Here is a 22878-nt window from a genome sequence, read left to right as displayed (position 1 = left end):
CCGAGATCACACTGCTGGCACTCCGGCCTGGGTGACAGAGCAAGACTCTGTCTCAAAAAAAAAAAAAAAAATGCATTTTGACTTTGAGTTTATCTGGCTGTAACCCGTTGTAAGTTGAGGAGCATCTGTATAGATCAAATTGGGGACAGTTGATATCTTGACAACGAGTCTTTTGAATCATGAAGATGTTATATTTCTTGTTTTTGGTTTTATTGAGACAGGGTCCCACTTTGTTACCCGGGTTGGAGTGCAGTGACACAATCACAGTTTACTGCATCGTTGACCTACCTGGCTCAGTTGATCTCCCACCTTGGCCTTCTGAGTAGCAGGGACTACAGGTGCGCACCACCACGCCCTGCTAATTTTTTTTTTTTTTTTTTTTTTGTAGAGACAGGGTTTTGCCATATTGCTGCCCAGGCTAGTCTTGAACTCCTGGGCTCAAGCCATCTCCTGCCTCAGTCTCCCAAAGTTCTGAGATACAGGCGTGAGCCACTGTGCCTGACCAAAAATGTTATATTTCTTCATTAAGTCTTTAATATCTCTCATCAAAATTTTGTAGTTTACAGCAGATAGGTCTGACACATAGTTTGTTAGATTTATACTGTGAAATATTTGTTTTTTGGATGATACTGTAAAAGATGCTTCTACAAATTTCAATTTTCTTATTGTTCATTTCTAGTACATAGAAATAAAATTGGCTTTCTTTTTCTTTTGTTTTATTTTTTGAGATGGAGTCTTGCTCTGTTGCCCATTGCGCCAGTGCAGTGGTGCAATCTCAGCTCACCACAACCTCTGCCTCCTGAGTTCAAGCGATTCTCCTGTCTCAGCTTCCCGAGTAGCTGAGACTACAGGTGCACGCAACAATGCCCAGCTAATTTTTTTATTTTTAGTAGAGACGGGGTTTCACTATGTCGGCCAAGCTGGTCTCGAACTCCTGACTCGTGATCTGCCTGCCTCAGTCTCCCAAAGTGCTGGGATTACAGGCATGAGCCACCATGCCCGGCCTCTTTTTTTTTTTTTTTTTCTTGGATACAGGGTCTCACTCCATCACCCAGGCTGGAGTGCAGTGGCGCAATCTTAGCCCACTGCAACCCCCACCACCTGTGTCCCACCACCAACTGGGCTCAAGCGATTCTCCAGCCTCAGCCTCCCAAGTAGCTGGGACCACAGATGTGGGCCACCACACCCAGCTAATTTTTGTATTTTTTGTAGAGACGGGGTTTCACTGTATTGCCCAGGCTGGTCTCAAACTCCTGAGCTCAAAGTAATCCGCCCGCCTCAGCCTCCCAAAGTGCTAGGATTACAGGTGTGAACTACTGCACCTGGCCTAAAATTTTTTTTTTTTTTTTACATTGCCCTTGATTGCCCTTGTACCCCATGTGTGACCTTGCTAAACTCACATATTTTAGCAACTTTTAGCAGATCCTTGTCTATGTAGATCATCATGTGTTTTGGAAATAAAAGACAATTTTATTAGCAATGGCTAGGACCTTTAGTTCAGTGTTGAGTCGGAAAGGTGAGAGTAGACATTATTTCCTTTTTCCATATCTTGGAAGCATTCAGCTTGCAGGTTTTTCACAGATACCTTTTGTAAGATTGAGGATTGATTGAGGACATTTCTTTCTATTCCTGGGTTTGTTGAGAGTTTATATTATGAATGGAGGTTGAATTTTGTGAGATGCTCTTTTCCTACATGTATCAAGATGATCATATGGTTTTTCTCTTTTGGTTTGTTGATAGCGTGAATTACATTGATTTTTTTGAATGTTGAACGAACTTTACTTGCTGGATTTAATTTGCTAATATTTTGTTGAGTGTTTTTGTGATTGTGTTCAGGAAGGATAATTATCTAGTTTTCTTGTAATGACTGTTTAATCAGGGTAATGTTGGCTTCATAAAATAGCACTGAGAAGCATTGCCTCCTCTTTTCTTCTGTTTTTTGGTAGATTTTATAATAGTTTTAACTGGTAGAATTCACCAGTGAAACCATCTTTGCTTAGAGTTTTCTTTGCTGGGCAGTTTTTTAGCTACAAATTTAATTTCTTTAATAGAGTACTTTTAAAATTATCTGTTTCTTCTTGAGTAAGCTTTGTTAGTTTTGTCTTTTAAGAAATCTGCCCATTTCATCCAAGTTATCAACTGTATTGGCATAAAGTTGTTTCTAGTATTCCCCTATTGTCCTTTTAATGTCTGTAGAAATCTGTAGTTCTTTCATTTCTGATCTTGGCAACTTGTGCCTCTTTTTTTTTTTTTTTTTTTGGCTGTCCATTCTGGCTGTTGATCTTTTCAAAGAAACATTTGGATTCATAGGGTTTTTTTTGTTTGTTATTTTTCTGATTTCAGTTTCATTGATTTCTGCTTTTATGTTTATTTTTTCCTTCCTTATGCTTGCTTTAGGTTTAATTTGCTCTTTTTTTTCTTATTTCTTTATTTTACTTTTTGAGACAGAGTCTCAATCTCTTGCCTGGGCTGGAGTGCAGTGGTGCAATCTTGGCTTACTGCAACCTCCGCCTCCCGGATTCAAGCAATTCTCATGCCTCAGCCTCCCCGAGTAGCTGGGATTAGAGGTGTGCGTCACTATGCCCAACTAATTTTTGTATTTTTAGTAGAGACAGGGTTTCGCCATGTTAGCCAGGCCAGTCTTGAATTCCTGGCCTTAAGAGATCTACCCACCTTGGCCTTCCAAAGTGCTGAGATTACAGGCATGAGGCACCATGCCCAGCCTACAAATTTTTTTTTAATGTAGGCATTTAAAGCTATAAATTTCTCTCTAAGCATCCCTTCCCTTCCCTTTTTTTTAACATCTTTTTTTTTTCTTTCTGAGATGAAGTCTCACTCTATTGCCTAGGCTGGAGTGCAGTGCCGTGATCTCAGCTTACTTTAACCTCCACCTCCCGAGTTGACGTGATTCTCCTGCCTCAGCCTCCCAAGTAGCTGGGATTAAAGGCATGTGCCACCATGCCTGGCTAATTTTTGTATTTTTAGTAGACATGGGGTTTCGCCATGTTGGCCAGGCTGGTCTAGAACTCCTGACCTCAGGTGATCTGCACACCTCGGGCTCCCAAAGTGCTGAGATTACAGGTGTGAGCCACCATGCCTGGCCTTTTTACATCCCTTTTAAACTTTTTATCTTTCATTTCATTCTACTTTGTTTTATTTTCTTCTTTTTTTAAATTCTACTTTCTGAAATATATTGATACTAATTAGTGGTTTTTAGAAGTTAGTATTTAATTAGGATGGATTATGGGGATTCCAGTAATCTGGATCAATATGCACTATCTTCCATGCAACTGCAAATAATTTCCTTCAGTTGTGTTTTGTGTGTGGGAGGGGGTTGAAGGATAAGGGGGTGGCATGGGGATGGCTATCTTTACTATTTTCAAAATAGTTTTGTTTCTAGTTTGAAATTATTTTTTAAATGTTAACTGTGTTGCTGAGACAATTCAGCGGGGAAAGAATAGTCTTTTCAACAAGTGGTCCTCAGACAATTAGATATTAGCATGCAAAATATTGAAGTTTGATGTCTACCTCAGGTTTGACCTCTGCCTCACACCATATACAAAATTAATTCAAAATAGATCAAAGACCTAAGTTTACCTGCTAAAACTAGAAAACTCTTAGAAGAAAACATAAGCATAAACTGTATTGACCTTGGATTAGGCATAATCTTAGATACAAAAATAAAAGCATAAATAACAAGAGAAAAAAATAAAAAGCAAACTTCTGTGCTACAAATTATACTATCAAGAAAGTAAATACACAACCACAGAATGGGAGAAAATTTTTGCAAACATGTATCTGAGAATGGATTTGTATCTAGAATATAAAGAACTCTTACAACTAAACAAAAAAGACAAATAACAGTTAAAAATGGGCAAAAGATATGAATAAATTTCTCTCCAGAGAAAATATATAAATGGCCAATCACACGTGAAAAGATGCTAAACATCATTAGTCATCAGGGGAATGCAAATCAAAAGAAAAATGGGATGGTATAATACTTCATACTCACTAGCCTGGCTGTGGTCCAAAAGTCACATAATAAGAATTGTAGGCGAGAATGTAGAGAAATTGGAACCCTCATACATTGCTGGTAGGAATGTAAAAATGATGCAGCCACTTGGGAACTTTGGCAGTTCCTCAAAAGGTTAAATGTAGAGTTACTATATGATCCAGCAGTTCTACTCTTAGGTGTATACACAAGATAAATGGAAACATATGTCCACACAAAATTTGTACACAAATGTTCATAGGTGCATTATTCATCATAGCCTAAAATGGAAGTTACTAAAATGTCCATCAACTGATGATTGGATAAATAAAATGTGTTATAGCCATACAGTGAAATATTATTTGGCAATAAAAAGTAGTAAAGTATTGGTACTTGTTACATCATGGAAGAACCTTGAAAACATTATGCCATGTGAAAGAAGCCAGTCACAAAAGAGCATATAGTGAAATATCCAGAATAGGAACACTTAGAGAAACAGAGAGTGAATCTGTGGCTTCCCTAGGGCTGGGAATGAGGTAGAGGGAATGACTGCTAAGGTTCAGGGTTTCTTTTTGGGGTGATGAAACTGTTCTAAAAGTTCCACAACTTTGTGAATACGCTAAAAACTGGCTATGCACAGTAGCTCATGCCTGTAATCCCAGCACTGGGAGGCTGAGGTGGAAGGATCTGTTGAACCCAGATCGCAGTGAGCTATGATTGCACTACCACACTGCAGCCTGGGTGATAGAGGGAAACTCTGTCTCTAAAAAAAAAAACTATATATATATGTCCCAAACCATTTGTTTATACATTTAAAATGGGTGAATTGTATGTGAACTATATCTCAATAGAGTTGTCATATTTCCTAGAATGTTACATGTGGTATTTATCATTAAGAGGTAGTTTAGAGCTCTGGAGTTGAAACGGGATAGTTCCCTTGACCCCCGAGGGGCTTGTGAAGGGGTTGGCTTGCTTACTTAGCCCGCAGCTCTCAACCCTTCATGGGACAGGCAGCACACAGGTCAGCAGATACAGGGGCCGGGATGAGTGCTTCTGGGCACCAGCAGGAGTAGAACTCTGTGCGGCCCTGCAGCAGCATCTAGGGGGGTACCTGTGGCCCCCAGGGCCCCAGAGGGCATGTGTTAACAGTGTGCCCTTTTATCTTTCCCCTCCACAAATAGCTTAAGTGCTTAACAGCTCATTGAAGGGTCAGGGTGACAGCCTTTTGCACCCACCCTCTTGGTACCCAAGTTCTTCTCTGGCATCCAGGAAGAATCAGGTTGCACGAACAAATTGAAGGGTGGTGAATGTGGAGGATTTTTTTGAGTGGTGGAGGTGGCTCTCAGTGGGGTGGGGAGCTGGAAAGGGGATGGACTGGAAAGGTGGTCTTCCCCTGGAGTTCAGCTGTCCCCGGCCAAACTCTTCCCTGAAGTACCCCCCGTCAAGCCATCCCTTTGAAGTCAAGCTACTTTTCTCTGACATCCAGCTGTTTCTTCTCTTCTCTCGTTCTCTGCCACTCTGCCAGTCTGCTGGTCTGCCTGGGGTTTTTATGGGTACAGGATGGGGGGCAGGGCAGGCCAAAAAGCAACATTTGAGCGGAAAAACAGGAATACATGTTCTCACTTTGGGCCGCGGGTCCAGGCTTGAGGGTGGGCCTCCACTAGGGACCTTGCCCTTTTCTGCCTAGTATTTACCTGCCTCCTTTCTGTATCAGAGTCAGAACATTTGAGATCAAATTCTGGATGTATTACACTCTGACTTCTAAGTGTCAGTTTATTTGTAAAGTGGGTATGATAATGTCAGGGTGATTGTGAGGATCAAAGGAGATGGTGGATGTATAGCAGTTAGCAAATGATCTGGTACCTAATAAATACTTAGCAAATGTTTGTTGTTGTTATTAGAATTCTAGCTGTTCACAAAATTAAAATTCTGACTATAACACAGCCATTTGAAATGGATCATCCTCAGAAAAGTACCTTCCAAAATAGAATTTTTTTCTGATATTTGTGGTAAATTTTTCTCTATATTTTTATAACAGATTCATGTGGCAAATTATTACTATTATTTTTAAGTTCGGGGTACAAGTGCAGGTTTGTTACCTAGGTAAACTTGTGTCATGGGGATTTGTTGCACAGATTATTTCATCACCCAGATATTTAGCCTAGCACCCACCTGATCCTCCCTCCTCCCACCCTCTATGCTCCGAAAGGCCCAAGTGTGTGTTGTTCCCCTCTTTGTGTCCATATGTTCTCATCATGTAGCTCCCATTTATTATTATCATCATCATCATCATCCTGTGGTCAAAGAATCAAAACGTATCAAGCCCCTCTCAACCCCAGCCATTTACCTCCGTCTTCCAAAAACAGGAAAGGAGCATACATAACTCTCTTATTTTATTCAAATCCACCTTAACATATAGATGGTTACATCTACATTTGAAAAACAGTATTGCCCATTATAACTAAACTATACTATTACTATTTCTGTTCTTCATTTTTGGAAAGGTATTCTAAAATTAATTGGCTCAGGCCAGGTACAGTGGTCCATGCCTATAATCCCAGTACTTTGCCCACCCTAGGTGGGCAGATCATTTAACATGGTGAAACCCTGTCTCTACAAAAAATGCAAAAATTTGTTGTGTATGGTGGCAGGCCCCTGTAATCCTAGCTACCCAGGAGGCTGAGGCATGAGAATCGCTTGAACCTGGGAGGAGGAGGCTGCAGTGAGCCGAGATCGCACCACTGCACTCCAGCCTAGGCAACAGAGCTGAGAGCAGACACCATTTCCCCCAACCCCAGCAACACCAAAAAAAAAAAAAAAAAAAAAAAAAAGAATAAAATTAATTGGCTTAAAATATAGTAAGTTTTCGGCCAGGTGTGGTGTCTCATGCCTGTATTCCCAGCATTGTGGGAGGCCAAGGCGGACAGATGGCTTGAGCCCAGGGGTTTGAGACGAGCCTGGGCAACATGATGAAACCCTGTCTCTACTAAAAATAGAAAAATTGGCCAGGTGTGGTGGCATGTGCCCGTAGTCTCAGCTACTGGTGAGGCTGACGTGGGAGGATCACTTGAGCCCAGGAGGCTGAGGCCATGGTGAGCCATGATCACACACCACTGTACTCCAGCCTGGTTGACAGAGTGAGACCCTGTCCCCCACAAAATATATGTATATATATATATATAGAGAGAGAGAGAGAGAGAGAGAGAGAGAGAGAGAAAGTTTTCTTGCAGGTTTTTGTACAGAGAAATGAAGAAATGAATGGCAAATTTAGTTTTAACTATATAATACTCAACTTTGCCTGTGTTTGAACTTTATAAAAATGGAATTATGCTGTATACCTTCTTCTATGATTTCTTTCTTTCTTTCTTTTTTTGAGACAGGAGTCTCGCTCTGTCGCCCAGGCTGGAGTGCAGTGGCGTGATCTCGGCTCACTGCAAACTCTGCCTCCTGGGTTCACACCATTCTCCTGCCTCAGCCTCCTGAGTAGCTGGGACTCCAGGCGCCCGCCACCACGCCTGGCTAATTTTTTGTGTTTTTAGTAGAGATGAGGTTTCACCGTGTTAGCCAGGATGGTCTTGATCTGCTGACCTCGTGATCCACCCGCCTTGGCCTCCCAAAGTGCTGGGATTACAGGCGTGAGCCACCGCGCCTGGCCTTTTTTTTTTTTTTTTTGAGATGGGGTTTTACTCTCAGGCTGGAGCGCAGTGGTATGATCACAACTTCCTGCAGCCTCAACCTCCCTGGCTCAAGTGATCCTTCTGCCTCAGTCTTCCAGGTTGCTGGGACTACAGGCATATGCCACTACACCCAGCTAATTTTTTAAATTTTTTGTAGAGGTGAGGTCTCCTTAGGTTGCCCAGGCTGGAACTCTTAGGCTCAAGTAGTCAATTTGCCTCTGCCTCCCCTAGTGCTGGGATTACAGGCATGAGCCCCAAACCTGGCTGACTTGTTTAGTTTAGCAACACTTTTTCAGATACATCTGTATTGATGAGTTCAACTGTAGGTTATTCATTTTCACTGCTGCATAGTATTCTGTTGTATTGTTTTTAACACAATTCATTGTTCTGCTCATGAGCTTTTGGGTAGTTTCTGGGTTTTTAATGTAAAGAATAATGTAACTATAAATACTATACATGTCATTAGCATATATAAGTAATGGAATTTTTGTTTTGTTTCGTTTTGAGACGGAGTCTCGCTCTGTCGCCCTGGCTGGAGTGCAATGGCACGGTCTTGGCTCACTGCAAGTTCCACCTCCTGGGTTCACACCATTCTCCTGCCTCAGCCTCCCGAGTAGCTGGGACTATAGGTGCCTGCCACCACGCCTGGCTAATTTTTTTTTGTATTTTTGGTAGAGATGGGGTTTCACTGTGCTAGCCAGGATGGTCTCGATCTCCTGACCTTGTGATCCGCCCGCCTCAGCCTCCCAAAGTGCTGGGATTACAGGTGTGAGCCACCGTGCCCGGCCCTAAGTAATGGAATTGTTGATATGTGATAGAGAAATTTTAATGTGCCTTGCTTCTTAAAATTTGAATTAAAATTTGAAGGACTATATAAAATCTGAACATTCTGTCTATACCTGCCAAAAAAAACCCCTAAACAATTATGCTTAGAAGTATCACAACAGTATTTGTGTTGTATTTAAAGTATATCTTTTTTTTTTTTTTTTTGAGATGGAGTCTTGCTCTGTTGCCCAGGCCTCCCAAAGTGCTGGGATTACAGGTGTGAGCCACTGTGCCCGGCATATCCATTGATTTTTAAATATATATTTTAAATTGGGGTGTTTGTTTTTTGTTTTGTTTTGTTTTTAGACAGTTTCTTGCTATCACCCATGTTGGAGTTCAGTGGCTCAGTAATAGCTCACTGCAGCCTAAAACTCCAGAGCTCAGTGATCCTCCTGCCTCAGCCTCCCAAAAAGCTGAGACTATAGGTGTATGCCATCACCCTCAGCTAACCTTTTGTTTTTTTTGTAGAGACCAGGGTCTTACCATGTTGCCCAGCTGGTATCAAACTCCTAGCCTTTGTTTGTTGGAAACAAACTCCAAGCGATCCTCCCGCCTCAGCCTCCCAATGTGCTGAGCCACCACGCCTGGCTGGAGTTTTTTAATAACAATATAAACGTGCAGAAACTATAGAAATGGGAAACATCACCTATCATTTAAAAATATTTGTCTTATACATACATGTTTTAGGCAAGATTGTAATCATAGTACTTATATTTGTTTCCTGCTGTTGCAGCATCATGCACATTTTACTGTATATATCAGGCATCACAGCTTCCTATCTAAATTTTTTTTTTTTGAGACGGAGTCTCACTCTGTTGCCCAGTCTGGAGTGCAGTGGCATGATCTGGGCTCACTGCAGCCTCCGCCTCTTGGGTTCAAGCATTATTTATCTGAATTTTTTTTTTTTTAGATGGAGTCTTGTTCTGTTGCCCAGGCTGGAGTGCAGTGGTGCAATCTTGTCTCAGCACAACCTCCACCTCCTGGGTTCAAGCAATTCTCCCTGCCTCAGCCTCCTGAGTAGCTGGGACTACAGGCGCGCACCACCATGCCTGGCTAATTTTTGTATTTTTAGTAGAGATGGGGTTTCACTCTGTTGGCCAGGCTGGTCTCAAACTCCTGACCTCATGATCTGCCCACCTTGGCCTCCCAAAGTGCTGGGATTACAGGTGTGAGCCACTGTGCCGGGCCTATTTATCTAAATTTTAATAACTGCATATACTTCCAACAGGTAGATAGGAAATAATTTACTTATTTCTTGTTGAAAATTTAGATTTTTTTCCATTGTTTCATTGTAAGTAATACTGTGATGAACATGTGTGGAACTATGATTCTTTCTAGGGATAGCCAAGGAAAAGCATCTCAGTAGCAATCTGGAAACACCTGCAAAACCTTTTTTTTTTTTTTTTTTTTTTTTGAGATGGAGTCTTGCTTTGTCACCCAGGTTGGAGTATAGTGGTATAGCGGCGCCATCTTGGCTCACTGCAACCTCCGCCTCCTGGGTTCAAGCAATTCTCCTGCCTCAGCCTCCCCAGTAGCTGGGACTACAGGCTCACACACCACCATGCCCAGCTAATTTTTGTATTTTTAGTAGAGACTGGGTTTCAACATTTTGGCCAGGCTGGTCTTGAACTCCTGACCTCAAGTGATCCACCTGTCTGCCTCCCAAAGTGCTGGGATTATATGCATGAGCCACTGCACCTGGCCTCAAGCTCCATTCTTTTTTTTTTTTTTTTTTTTGAGATAGAGTTTCACTCTTATTGTCCAGGCTGGAGTGCAGTGCCGCAATCTCAGCTCACTGCAACCTCTGCCTCCCAGGTTCAAGTGAGTCTCCTGCCTCAGCCTCCCAAGTAGCTGGGATTACAGGCGCCTGCTGCCATGCCCAGCTAATTTTGTGTATTCTCAGTAGAGTTGGGGTTTCACCACGTTGGCCAGGCTGGTCTCGAGCTCCTGACCTCAGGTGATCCACCTGCCTTAGCCTCCCAAAGTGCTGGGTTTACATGTGTGAGCCACTGTGTGACCTCAAGCCCCATTCTTAACTTTGCTGTTAGTTAAGATAGCAAAAAAATTTTTTTAAAAAAGATTCTCTGGGGAGAACTACTTTAGGGTCTATGGCGGTGGTTCTTTTTTGTAATACAATAAATCTGAATGAATTTTGTTTTGAAAGCTGTTATCTGTAAATTGTTATTTAAAATTCATTATTTTAACTATAATTGTCTTGACTACACTTTTATTAATACCTTAAGATTTTAATATGTTAAATATCTTTTCCCCTTTTTAGGTATGGCTGATGGCAAGCATTGTACTTTTCCACATCTGCCTGGCAAAACCTTTGTCTATAATGCTTCTGAAGATAGACTGGAATTGTGTGTGGATGCTGCAGGACATTTCCCCATTGGTCCTGATGTTGAAGATTTAGTTAAAGAGGCTGTAAGTCAGGTTCGAGCAGAGGCTACTACAAGAAGTAGGGAATCAAGTCCCTCACATGGGCTATTAAAACTAGGTAGTGGTGGAGTAGTGAAAAAGAAATCTGAGCAACTTCATAACGTAACTGCCTTTCAGGGAAAAGGGCATTCTTTAGGAACTGCATCTGGTAACCCACACCTTGATCCAAGAGCTAGGGAAACTTCAGTTGTAAGAAAGCATAATACAGGGACAGACTTTAGTAATAGTTCCACTAAAACAGAGCCTTCTGTATTCACAGCTTCTTCTAGTAATAGTGAGCTTATTCGAATAGCTCCTGGAGTAGTAACAATGAGAGACGGCAGGCAGCTTGATCCTGATTTGGTTGAGGCCCAGCGAAAAAAATTGCAGGAAATGGTTTCTTCTATTCAGGCTTCAATGGACAGGCACCTTCGGGATCAAAGTACAGAGCAGTCACCATCTGATCTTCCTCAAAGGAAAACAGAAGTTGTGAGTTCTTCTGCAAAGTCTGGGAGTCTTCAGACTGGTTTGCCTGAATCTTTTCCTTTAACTGGTGGTACTGAAAATTTGAATACAGAAACAACTGATGGCTGTGTAGCAGATGCACTGGGAGCAGCCTTTGCCACAAGGTCAAAAGCACAAAGGGGAAATTCCGTGGAGGAGCTTGAAGAGATGGATAGTCAAGATGCTGAGATGACTAACACAACTGAGCCAATGGATCACTCTTGATTTAATTAGAGGCTAATAAAGGCAGAATGTTTATTGTGAATATGTAATATTTGTTGGCTGGGCCACGTAACTTGATTAGTCATTAAAAATCTTGTACGTATATAATTCAAAGATTATATCTTGTTATTCAGTGCATGATAGCAAGTGTGTGATTGGCCATAGCTTTTAATATACTGCTGCCCAGGCTGGCTCTGAATTTCTATAAATTAGCTGTTAGATCTGCTGAGATGACTTTCTTCCATATATGTGGTTCATTGGAAGTTCTTTGTAATTTTAATTCCATGAAAGTCTTAATGTTTCCAACATGAAAATTCTCTTACTTAAATACGTTTGATTTCTGAAAAGCCTACAAATGGAGGGGAAATGAGATTGTGCTAATGTTGATGTCATCAAGGTAACCATCTCATATACTAGTGTCAAAAGGTTTATGTAAACTTGAATTTTATCTGAACTAAATTGTATCTTAAAATTCATACAATTATTTATTAGACAGTGGAATGCAAATGTTTCTATGAACGTAAACACATTCATAGAGATTTCTTGGCGAAAATATCTTGAGAATAGAATGTAACGATATAACATTTTGCTGATTTGTGCAAGATTGGGGAAAAATTTCTTCTAGATTGATGAGGTCAATGTGATTCAGTTGTGTTGCTGTCTGAGCCACAGCCAATTGTGTGTGCTCTATTAATATGTTACCATTATTTTTGATTCCTGGCTTGGTCAAGAACAACCTGATTTTTTTTTTTTTAATCTTGCAGAAAAGTTGATTGCAAAGTGTGGTAGAAAAAGAAATAATGGTAGCAGTAGAGAATTTATAAATAAGAGTTTATCTTTATGAATGAGTTAATTGTTCTACAATTTTGATCAGTGGTATTTAAGCCTGTATATGCTAAGTGTATTTATGCCCCTTTGAGCCAAAATTTTTTTTTTTTTTTCAGAATCCATAAGAGTTTATTTGTTGGCTTCACTTGGGTTTAGATGCAAATTTTACTGCATCACACCCTGATCAGCTGGGTATTTGCTTAGTGTATTCATCAAATCTTCAGTGCCAGTTTCCTTGAGAAGCAGCTTTCATGCTTATTCCTTAAAAACAACAGAAGAGTGTTTATCCTGAGATTGGTATTGCACTATTTTATTTTATTCTGCAAATCTGTATCCTGAAGTGTACATTTCAACCCATATTCTTCTCTGTTCACTGAAATTAAGTTGAATTTGAATGGCTGAAAGACAAAATATATGTTAATACAATCTCTTACCTAGAGCATTCAAAGCCTGGCTGTCTCTGTTTGCACATGTAACAGATGCAGAACTGTGTTTGTAATTCTAAGAAAATGTATGTCAGAAAGTATTTTATCAGATGTTTAAAAATCTCTGCCTGTTGATTCATAAGGGATATAGACAGTACTTTAACTTGTGTTTCCAGATAAGGCAGATTTTGGTCATCTTTCTGTGAAAGTATCTCTAACTGAATCCACTTCTTAAACAAACTACTCTATTTTAAATAAGGAAAGAATGGAGAATCTAGACATTTTACAGGTGTATCTGAGCAAAATATATATTTGGGTTAGTTTTTATCACATTATCACGTTTGTCTTTATATTTTATCTTCATCCTAAATTTTCTCCCTATCAAAACAGCAGGAAATTTTTAAACTTTTATATTGTACACTATTTTTGCATAAAATAAGAGCTGTAGCTACCAAATACTATTTACTACTTAGTAAAGGTGGCTTCTGTGTATTAAACTACGAATTACAAATATCACTTCACTAACCACTATAATTATTTTTGGCTTTTTCAGCCACTGGAACTTTTTTTGGGGGGATTTAAATACAGGAAAACTGTTTAAGCAAAAAATGCACTGCTTTCATGTAAAATGATATAATCTTCTTTAACAAATATTTTCTTCATTGATAACTGACAGATATCTCATAGCATTAACATAAAATACCAGAAACAAACTTTATCTCCCTATTCTTACATTTAGTGCAAATTGGAATGCGTATGTGAATGTTAGAAGATGGACTTAATCTCTGACAACTTTATTAATTTCTCTAGCTACAGCAATGCTATTTAAAAGCCAGTTAGGTATGAATAGTACAGTAATAGTTTGGGTTCTCCCTTGATAAATGAATAAAAGGCTCAATTCTGATAAGTGATCAAATTTCTTGAAATTCTTTCAAATCAGCTGAAAATTTGGTTGGGGTGAATTGATGGTTTTTGAGAAGTAGGCCAGGTATCCTCACAAAGAAGTTTTAGAATAGGGTTTCTTTTAAGTTTTTAAATATCATCCTTTGTCTTTCCATATGGTTTTCATAACCAAATACATGACTATAGCATGGTTATTTTTCTAGTACTGCCATTTGTGATATAGCCACATCTTGGCGTGCAAGCTAGACATCTCAGGTAAATTTGTTTTTTTTTTTTTTTTTAGCCCTAGAGGTAACATTATAACTAAAATGCATTCCTGCAATTCTGTTTGCAGTGCTTCACTAAACATTGAAATAAAGTTGTAAATTTTTTCTTCAGTAATCCATTTTATAGTTAATCATACCAAATTTAAGTTGATGACCTAAAGTCCAGGTAGTGTTGAAGATAGTATGTATCTAGAATACTGGTAATGAGAAATTGTTGTAAATTGAAGAAAACAAGATGCTGCCATATATTAAGATAGAATATAATTAACTCCATGAGAATGGTTACTCAGGAACTAGTTAAAGAGCAAACCCATTTCTCCCGCTTCACTCTGTTTCAGATATTTTTATTGGAAAATGTTAGGGTAGAGGCCTGAGAAAGTTAGCAAATGCTATTGACTGATACTGGCTCTGTGTCTTCCAGTGATTTTTAGTTTGGTTTTTACAGTCAAGCCTACTGCTTGCAATTAAGATATCAATCTGAAATGCATCTGTAATTCCTGGCCACAGGTCCTTATTGCCATTATTTTTAAGTATCTTCATTGGAGATGAACACTGACTTTTGCATATGGTCTCTTACCTCAGGGAAGATCACTTGCTAGCAACTCATACTACTAATGACAGGTTTTTGAGAATTGTACTGACATCACATGTTAGCTACTAAATGCAAAATGTATAAAAGTATTGTTTTATGTAGTTACCTACCAATACTATCTGCTACTGAATAACTCTCTAAATATGTAGACCTCACTAATAACTAACCTTTAGGTAAAAAATTTACTTCTGTCATTAATTACACTTCAACTGGTCAATATAGTGGCAGCATAAAGTGTTTATTTCAGAATATCAATACAGTTTTGTCTTCATTTTTCAACAGTAATTTCAATTGGTTCATACTTAAAATACTACACAGATTTTGAGTTTTATGGTTCTCAAAGCAAGGTTTCCATCTTAAGATTTTTATAAACACAAAGCCTTTGCAAAATTGGATTAAATTCCACCTATCTTAATGTGAATTAAAAACCACCATTTATAATAATAATAGCGCCATATTCTAAGTTGAGTAAATGCATCCTACCATTCAAGGTTATCATATAATTTAACAAAATTGTACAACCTTAAGGCTCTTCACAGTATAAATTAATTTTTCAAACCAGAGCTGTTCACATGAAAATATTCCTTAGTAGAATGTATATTTAAGAAATAAAACAACAAAGGGGAACTATATCACCCATGTAAGTTATAGAGTTAATTACAAGTTCTACCATTCTTGATAATTCTTTGAGATGCTAAGTGTTTCAGTTCATATTTAATGATACTTAAATCGTGGGAATTTTAATGTTTGTTCCAAAATAGCAGAAATTGTAAAAATTATGAATTATTGGAGAAAATGCCATTACTTGTATATCTGACATTTAATTTTTTAATTATGGAGACTACATGCTTTTGTAGTATAATATTAATGATTATTCTCTTGTAAAAGAAAAGGAAAAATTAGTAAAGAAAAAAGTTTTAGTTGATGTTACCTGCTTGTGAGTATCAATTACTTAGTTTTTAAATTTTTAAGGTATTGCCTACTTTTCTTTAGAATGCAGAAATCTCGTCCTGAGCCCTTATTATGCCTGTGGTAGAGCAATGCAAGACTGAAAAGGTTGCCAGTATTTTCAGGCTTATTTGACTAAGAATTAGTGCCAAGAACTGGAAAGTCTACTTTTTGGAGGGAAATGATACTTAGAATTTGTAAACATAAGCAGTAATAGTGTAAATATTTAGAAAAATAGCAAGTGCTTTAACTGCTCAATAAAATAGTATAGATGTTATTTCACCCTTAAGGCACTGGCTGTTGCCCATTATTTTCCGATTTCGTGATTACTGTATATATTACATTTGAGTAATGAATAATTGGTAATAGTGTATTATAGTGTTCTACAGCACACCTTACTGTACAGTATTTGAAGTTTTCTTTTATATCAATAATAAAACTATAAGTTAATACTGATTTTCCCCTGAAATTCTCCACATTAGCTTTTAAAGGTAATTTTATGTTCTTTAGTTTCCTGGAATTATAATGCATGAACATATAGTTCAGTTTTATAAAGAAATTCTTAAATAATAAAGTTTTCTTGTTGAACTTAAGCGGGTTATCGTACAGGAATAGTGATTTTTCCCCTTAATGTAGATTTCATTGCTAGATGAAATGGACCCAGTGAAAAAAGAGTGCGCAATTTAAAAAAAAACCAAAACGGTCTCACTCTGCTGCCCATGCTGGATTGCCGTGGCATGATCAGGGCTCACTGCAGCCTCAACCTCCTGGGCTCAAGTGATCCTCCCACCTCAGCCTCCTGAATAGCTGGGACTACAGGCATGTGCCACCACACCTGGCTAATTTTTGTATTTTTTGTAGAGATAGGGTTTTGCCATGTTGCCCAGGCCGGTCTTGAACCCCTGAGCTCAAGTGATCTGCCCTCCTCTGCCTCTTTAAGTGCTGGGATTACAGGCGTGAGCCACCGCACCCTGCCAGCAAAATTTCTTTAGACATATTACATAATTGGGCCATAATGCTTACTGAATATTTAAAAATGAAGGCAAATTCTAACAGAGAACTTGATTTTGTGGTGGTTTAAAAAAATACTGGTTAGTGATAAGGAAATGAAAGGAAATACAGATAATAGTACTAAATAACGTTTGTGTAGCTTAGCAGTCAACACGTTTACTTCCAAGTTTTATTGTATATGCTTAATATACATTTTATTAGATCATTTAACTCAATAATTTAGAGTATAGCCTTAGACACCAGACTGCCTAGGTCTGACTCCTGGTACGCTGCTTTCTGTGACCTCTCTGTGCATTCCTCTCTGCGAGGATGATGATCACATCTGCTCCCAGGGTGGCTGTCTTAAATGAGTTAACACGTATCTGATGATTAGAAGAGTGCCTGACACATAGTAAACACTCAAATATTTGCTATGTTATATGTTAATGTAATGTGGTAGAGTTCAGTTGCCATTAAGTGGGATAAATCCTCACAGGGCACACATTATTTAAATAATTTGTTACATTAAAACTTATTTTACTTGTACATAATTGACTAAAAAATGGGGGGTTGTACATTCAAACATTTATGACCATGTGCAACACTGAGAATCTCAAACCGACAGTGTGCTCTGTGACCCAAGGCAAGTCTTGGAGCCTTTCAAGGCCTCAATTTCTTCTGTAACCTTGTGGTTTCACAATTGTCAACCTTTTGTTCTGCCGACCATTGTCGTCATAGTCTTACTTGCAGAGGGCATAGTGCTGATGGGACAAGTGACATGGGTATGAGCCCCATGTAAACTAAAACATAATTACCTTTCCTTTAGGTGTTGGCTACAGTTATCCCAAACTTGGACTTGAGGTCTTGTATATGCATGCCATTGGTCACATACCATCAGAATAGAATTCTCAAAAACTCTTTAGTAAATAAGATAAACATCCTACTTATAACAGCTCATTATGGATTTTATTTTTATTGTCTGGCTCTTTCAGACCCCAGCAACTGCAATTCTGACTTAATAATCAATTGTTTCTAATCATTAAAAATGTATATAGAAAAACTGAAGTAAGTCTTTAATTGATTTTCTGAACTGTATATGATACACTGAGGTGAAAAACATATGGGCTCTTCAAATTTGCACACTCTAGAAGTAAACCTGTCTTTGGCCCATTTGTCATACCACGTAAATTATTTGAGAAACAGATAAATTGTGTAGGAATCTGGGGGGATTATTCCTGTTTGTTCTATTTACAGAAACAGGTATAGTACAAAGTCTACCTATAAAGTGATGACATTTTTATATTTGATTTATGGAATCAGTATTTTATTTTTAATTTTCTTTTTTGAGACCGAGTCTCGCTCTGTTGCCCAGGCTGGAGTGCAGTGGCACCATCTTGGCTCACTGCAACCTCCGCCTCCCAGGTTCAAGCAATTCTCCTGCCTTAGCCTCCCGAGTAGCTGGGATTACAGGCACCCGCCACCATGCCCGGCTAATTTTTGTATTAGTAGAGACGGGGTCTCTACTAAATAGAGGGGTCATTCATTATTTTAAACAAGTACTGATAAAATGCCTGTTTTAAAAACTTGGGAAACAGTTCCAAATGAGAGAAATTCCATGCGTCCTTAGAGCTTACATCCCAATGATGGAGACAAGCACAAAACACATTGGTAATAGCTAACATTTAGTGACTCTTTCCCTTGTATCTGGGCAATAGGCTGAACACTACATGCAATAATTAACCGTCAAAAGCCTTTGTGGTTGGGTACTATCATTATCATCTTTTAGGAAACAAGTTGATATAGATTAGTTGGTTTACCTGAAGTCCTGGAGTTAGGTGGCAGAGTTGAGATTTAAATCCAGATGTTTAAGACTCCATAGTCTATGCTGTTAACTTTAATGCTACATTTGTAATTTAGCAAAGGAATAAAATTTGGTGGTCACATAAGTCTTTACAAACATTTATTGTTAAATCTAGCTTGTTTTTAGATACACCAACATGGTTTTAATTGATTTCAGTGTATAGAGTATCTGGCTTTTTTTTTTTTTTTTTAATACAGATGGTCTCTCTGCTGTGCAGGCTGGAGTGCCCAGTGGTGCCATCATAGCTCACTGCAATCTCAAACTCCTGGGCTCAAGTGATCCTGCTGCCTCAGCCTTCCAAATAGCTGGGACTACAGATGTATGTCACCTCACCTGGCTAATTTATTTTTTGTAGAGACGGGGTCTCCCTATGTTGCTCAGGCTAGTCTCAAGTCCCAGAAGTGCTGGGATTACAGGCATGAGCAACAGCTTTAATTTCACTTCCTACTAGTTCCCTTCCTGAACCCTAGTCCTCCATCTCAAGTTCTTCCTTCCTTGGATTTGTTTTCTTGCCTCCTCTAAATTTGGAGGTGCTTTAAGGAAGAGTTTCAGAATTTCTTAGATGACTAACCTGGGTACATTTGAGAATCACTGGTTAAAGTCCAGTTTTTCAAGGACCTAAAATAATTCTTGTTTACTAAGTGGGTCTGCTGCTTTGGAGGGGAGGTTTCCCAAAGGTGATGTTTCTCAAAAAATAGTTCATGGGCTATATGCATCTCAACTAGAAAGTTTATTTCTATGGAATCATGTGTCAGGTACTTTGCTCAACAGAAGGAATAATAAACTGAGAAAGACACTTCCTGCCTTCATTACATTTACATTTTTAGTGAGAGAGAGATACATTTAAATAAGCAAGTAACTACATATTGGGGAAGCATTGGGTGATGTGGGATTATGCTGCAAGAGGAACTAACCTGACCTGCTAAATGGTTAGGGAATGCTTCCTGAGAGGTGATGTACCATCTGAGACCTAAATAATTGATAGGATACTTAAAAATCAAATTGGCCAGCCAGGTGCGGTGGCTCATGTCTGTAATCCCAGCACTTTGGGAAGCTGAGGCCAGCAGATCACGAGGTCAGGAGTTCGAGACCAGCCTGGTCAACATAGTGAAACTCTGTCTCTACTAAAAATACAAAAATTAGCCAGGCATGGTGGCGTGCACCTGTACTCCCAGCTACTTGGGAGGCTGAGACCAGAGAATTGCTTGAACCCGGAACGCGGAAGTTGTGGTGAGCCAAGATGGCGCCACTGCACTCTAGCCTTGGCAACCGAGCAAGACTCCGTCTCAAAAAAAAAAAAAAAAAAATCTAATTGGCCAGGGATGGAGGATAGTGCCCAGTGCATGGGGAGGCAGAGATGGGAGGATCACTTAAGGCCAGGAATTCAAGACCAGCCTGGGCAACATAGCGAGACCCTAACACTATTGGAAAAAAATTAGCTGGGTGTGGTGGTGCATGCCTATAGTCCCAGCTACTCAGGAAGCTGGGGAAGTTTATAAGTGAGCTATGATTGTGTCACGGCACTCAGCCTGGGCAACAGAGTGAGTCCCTGTCTCTTAAAAAATAAATTGGCAAGACTCAGTATCTCCAAAAATAACTTACTAACTAGGTCAGTTCATCAAACAAAATTAAATGGGATGCTTATGTTTGCCGTACTTTAGACTCCAGATCCTTTAAGGGGGCAGTGAGCCAGCTGAATAGAGAAGGATGAGGAACTTTGAGAAAACTGTTGAAAATAGGGTTGCTAGAGAAAAAGAAAAAACTTTAGCAAGGAATGAGATTCTGCACTGAGTATACAAAAGTAACCAGATACATAAGCTTCTCCTTTGAAATGAAAAGGTGTCTTTGTAATATGACCAATGTAAATTAGATACATAGATGAATAACACAAACGTAAGCAAAACAGTAAAGCCAGAATCAAATTAGAGGGTTAGAAGCCCTCAGTTATTCTGATTTCTTTCAACATGACCAGGACTATAGAAAGACTAGTTTCTTTATTTTTTTTGAGGCTGAGTCTTGCCCTATTGCCCAGGTTGGGGTGCAGTGGTGCGTTCTCGGCTCACCGCAACCTCTGCCTCCCGAGTTCAAGTGATTCTCGTGCCTCAGCCTCCCAAGTAGCTGGGACTACAGGCAAACGCCACCACGCCCGGCTAATTTTTGTATTTTTAGTGGAGACAGGGTTTCACCATGTTGCCCAGGCTGGTCTCAAACTCCTGACCTCAAGTGATCTGCCCGCCTCGGCCTCCCAAAGTGCTGGGATTACAGGCATGAGCCACAGCACCCAGCCTCTTTTTTTTTTTTCCTGTGACGGAGTCTTGCTCTGTCTCCCAGGCTGGAGTGCAGTGGCGCGATCTCGGCTCACTGCAAGTTCCACCCCCCGAGTTCACGCCATTCTCCTGCCTAAGCCTCCCGAGTAGCTGGGACTACAGATGCCCGCCACCACACCCGGCTAATTTTTTGTATTTTTTTATTAGAGACAGGGTTTCACCGTGTTAGCCAGGATGGTCTCGATCTCCTGACCTCGTGATCCGCCCGCTTCGGCCTCCCAAAGTGCTGGGATTACAGGCGTGAGCCACCGCGCCTGGCATTTTTATTTTTTTTGGACAGTCTGGCTCTGTTGCCCAGGCTGGAGTGCAGCGGATGATCTTTGTTCATGGGTTCAAGCGATTCTTGTGCCTCAACCTCTCAAGTAGCTGGGACTACAGTCGTATGCCACCACTCTTGGCTAATTTTTGTATTTTTTGTAGAGATGGGGTTTCTCCATGTTGCCCAGGCTGGTCTTGAACTCCTGAACTCAAGCAATCCACCCACCTCGGCTCCCAAAGGGCTGGGATTACAGGCACAAACCATGGTGCCCGACCTAGAAAGATTAGTTTCATTTCTTCCTATAGCTTCTCCCAGCCTATACCAGTATCTGTCACCTCTGTTTCCGTTAAGCAGTGGTACTGCCTAAGTGGCTAGTAATCAAATGCCTATCTTAAATTGTGCTTACAGTATTCCATTTCAATTTAAGATTATCATTATGTGATCTTTCTTATGGCAGGTGATTTGGCTCTTTTGTAAATGTTACAATGTTATTAAATTTATTTTTGGTACATGGGGTAATTAGAACAATTACTATCTGGAAAAGTTCTCATTCAAATAGCCCTTAATTTTTTCCCATTTAAAACTTATTCTCGGCCGGGCTTGGTGGCTCAAGCCCGTAATCCCAGCACTTTGGGAGGCAGAGGCAGGCGGATCATGAGGTCAGGAGATCGAGACCATCCTGGCTAACACGGTGAAACCCCGTCTCTACTAAAAATACAAAAAATTAGTCGAGTGTGGTGGCGGGCGCCTGTAGTCCCGGCTACTCGGGAGGCTGAGGCAGGAGAATGGCGTGAACCCGGGAGGCGGAGCTTGCAGTGAGCCGAGATCGAGCCACTGCACTCCAGCCTGGGCGACAGAGCGAGACTCCGTCTCAAAAACAAAACAAACAGAAAAAACTTATCCTCAAAGCAATACATGTACATGGCTAAAATAATTCAAAACTATAGAAGGCACCCACTTCTCCCATCCCAATCACTAAATCAACCGTTTTATCTTCAGTGGTTACTACAACTTAAATAAGATATAGGTATAATCTCTTGATTTGTCGACTTTAGACGGTATTTTATTCCTCCGTTGTGAAAAATATTAGTTCCCTTGCCCTTTTTAGTTTTCTCTGTAACTTTAAATAATACAGTTAGGTCTCTGTTTATTAATCCACCAATTTCAAACATTATCTCTTGACTCTCCCTATGAAAAATGAGGCAATTAGCATTTTTACACTTTCTGAAATCCCTTATCTTCTCATTCTACTTCCTAATTTTTTATCAGCTATCCTATTTATTACTTTTACATTGTCAAGGTTGATGGGATTCAAGTTATGTTCTTTTAGCCATAAGTGCCTTTTTAAAAATCTATAGTTTAATTAAACTAATAAATAGCCAAGGTGGTCCCAAATGTTAAAATGAAAAAGATTTCACTTTCCCTAGAATAATTAAAAAAATAAAAATAAAATGAAAAGGTTTTTTTTTTCTGGGACACTAATTAGAAGTTGGAGTGTTTTCAAGGCAAACGTTGTAATTGTTTTTTCACCTATTTTTTCACCCAGTGAAATCAAGGCAGTCATTGTAATTTAATTTATTTGGAGAACAAGCCTCTTGTTTTTGCCTGGGTATAAATTCACTAGCAGTTATTCCGCAAGAAGAAAGTAGGAATAGATTGTGGACAAGATTAATAGACACTTCAGCTATCTTGTTTTATGTCCCACTATTCACTCTTTTTTTTTTTTTTTTTTTTTTTTTTTTTGAGATGGAGTCTCGCTCAGTCGCCCAGGCTGGAATGCAGTGGCGCAACCTCAGCTCACTGCAACCTCTGCTTCCCAAATTCAAGCAATTCTCCCTG

The 22878-nt window shown here is 39.6% G+C and overlaps 1 protein-coding gene across 1 annotated transcript in view; it reads left to right on the top strand.

Moving 5' to 3' along the window:
• The window catches only part of VCPIP1 (valosin containing protein interacting protein 1), a 38745-nt gene extending 21088 nt beyond the window's left edge, over positions 1–17657 (top strand). Inside the window, exon 3 of the mRNA NM_025054.5 lies at positions 10772–17657. Coding sequence (NP_079330.2) covers positions 10772–11643 — 872 coding nt within the window. The 3' untranslated portion in view covers positions 11644–17657. The remainder of the gene's footprint in view (positions 1–10771) is intronic.
• Positions 17658–22878: the final 5221 nt, after the last annotated feature.

The sequence above is a fragment of the Homo sapiens genome, chromosome 8 (genome assembly GCF_000001405.40).
Source record: "Homo sapiens chromosome 8, GRCh38.p14 Primary Assembly".
NCBI lineage: Eukaryota > Metazoa > Chordata > Mammalia > Primates > Hominidae > Homo > Homo sapiens.
This window is presented reverse-complemented; position numbering and strand designations above follow the sequence as displayed.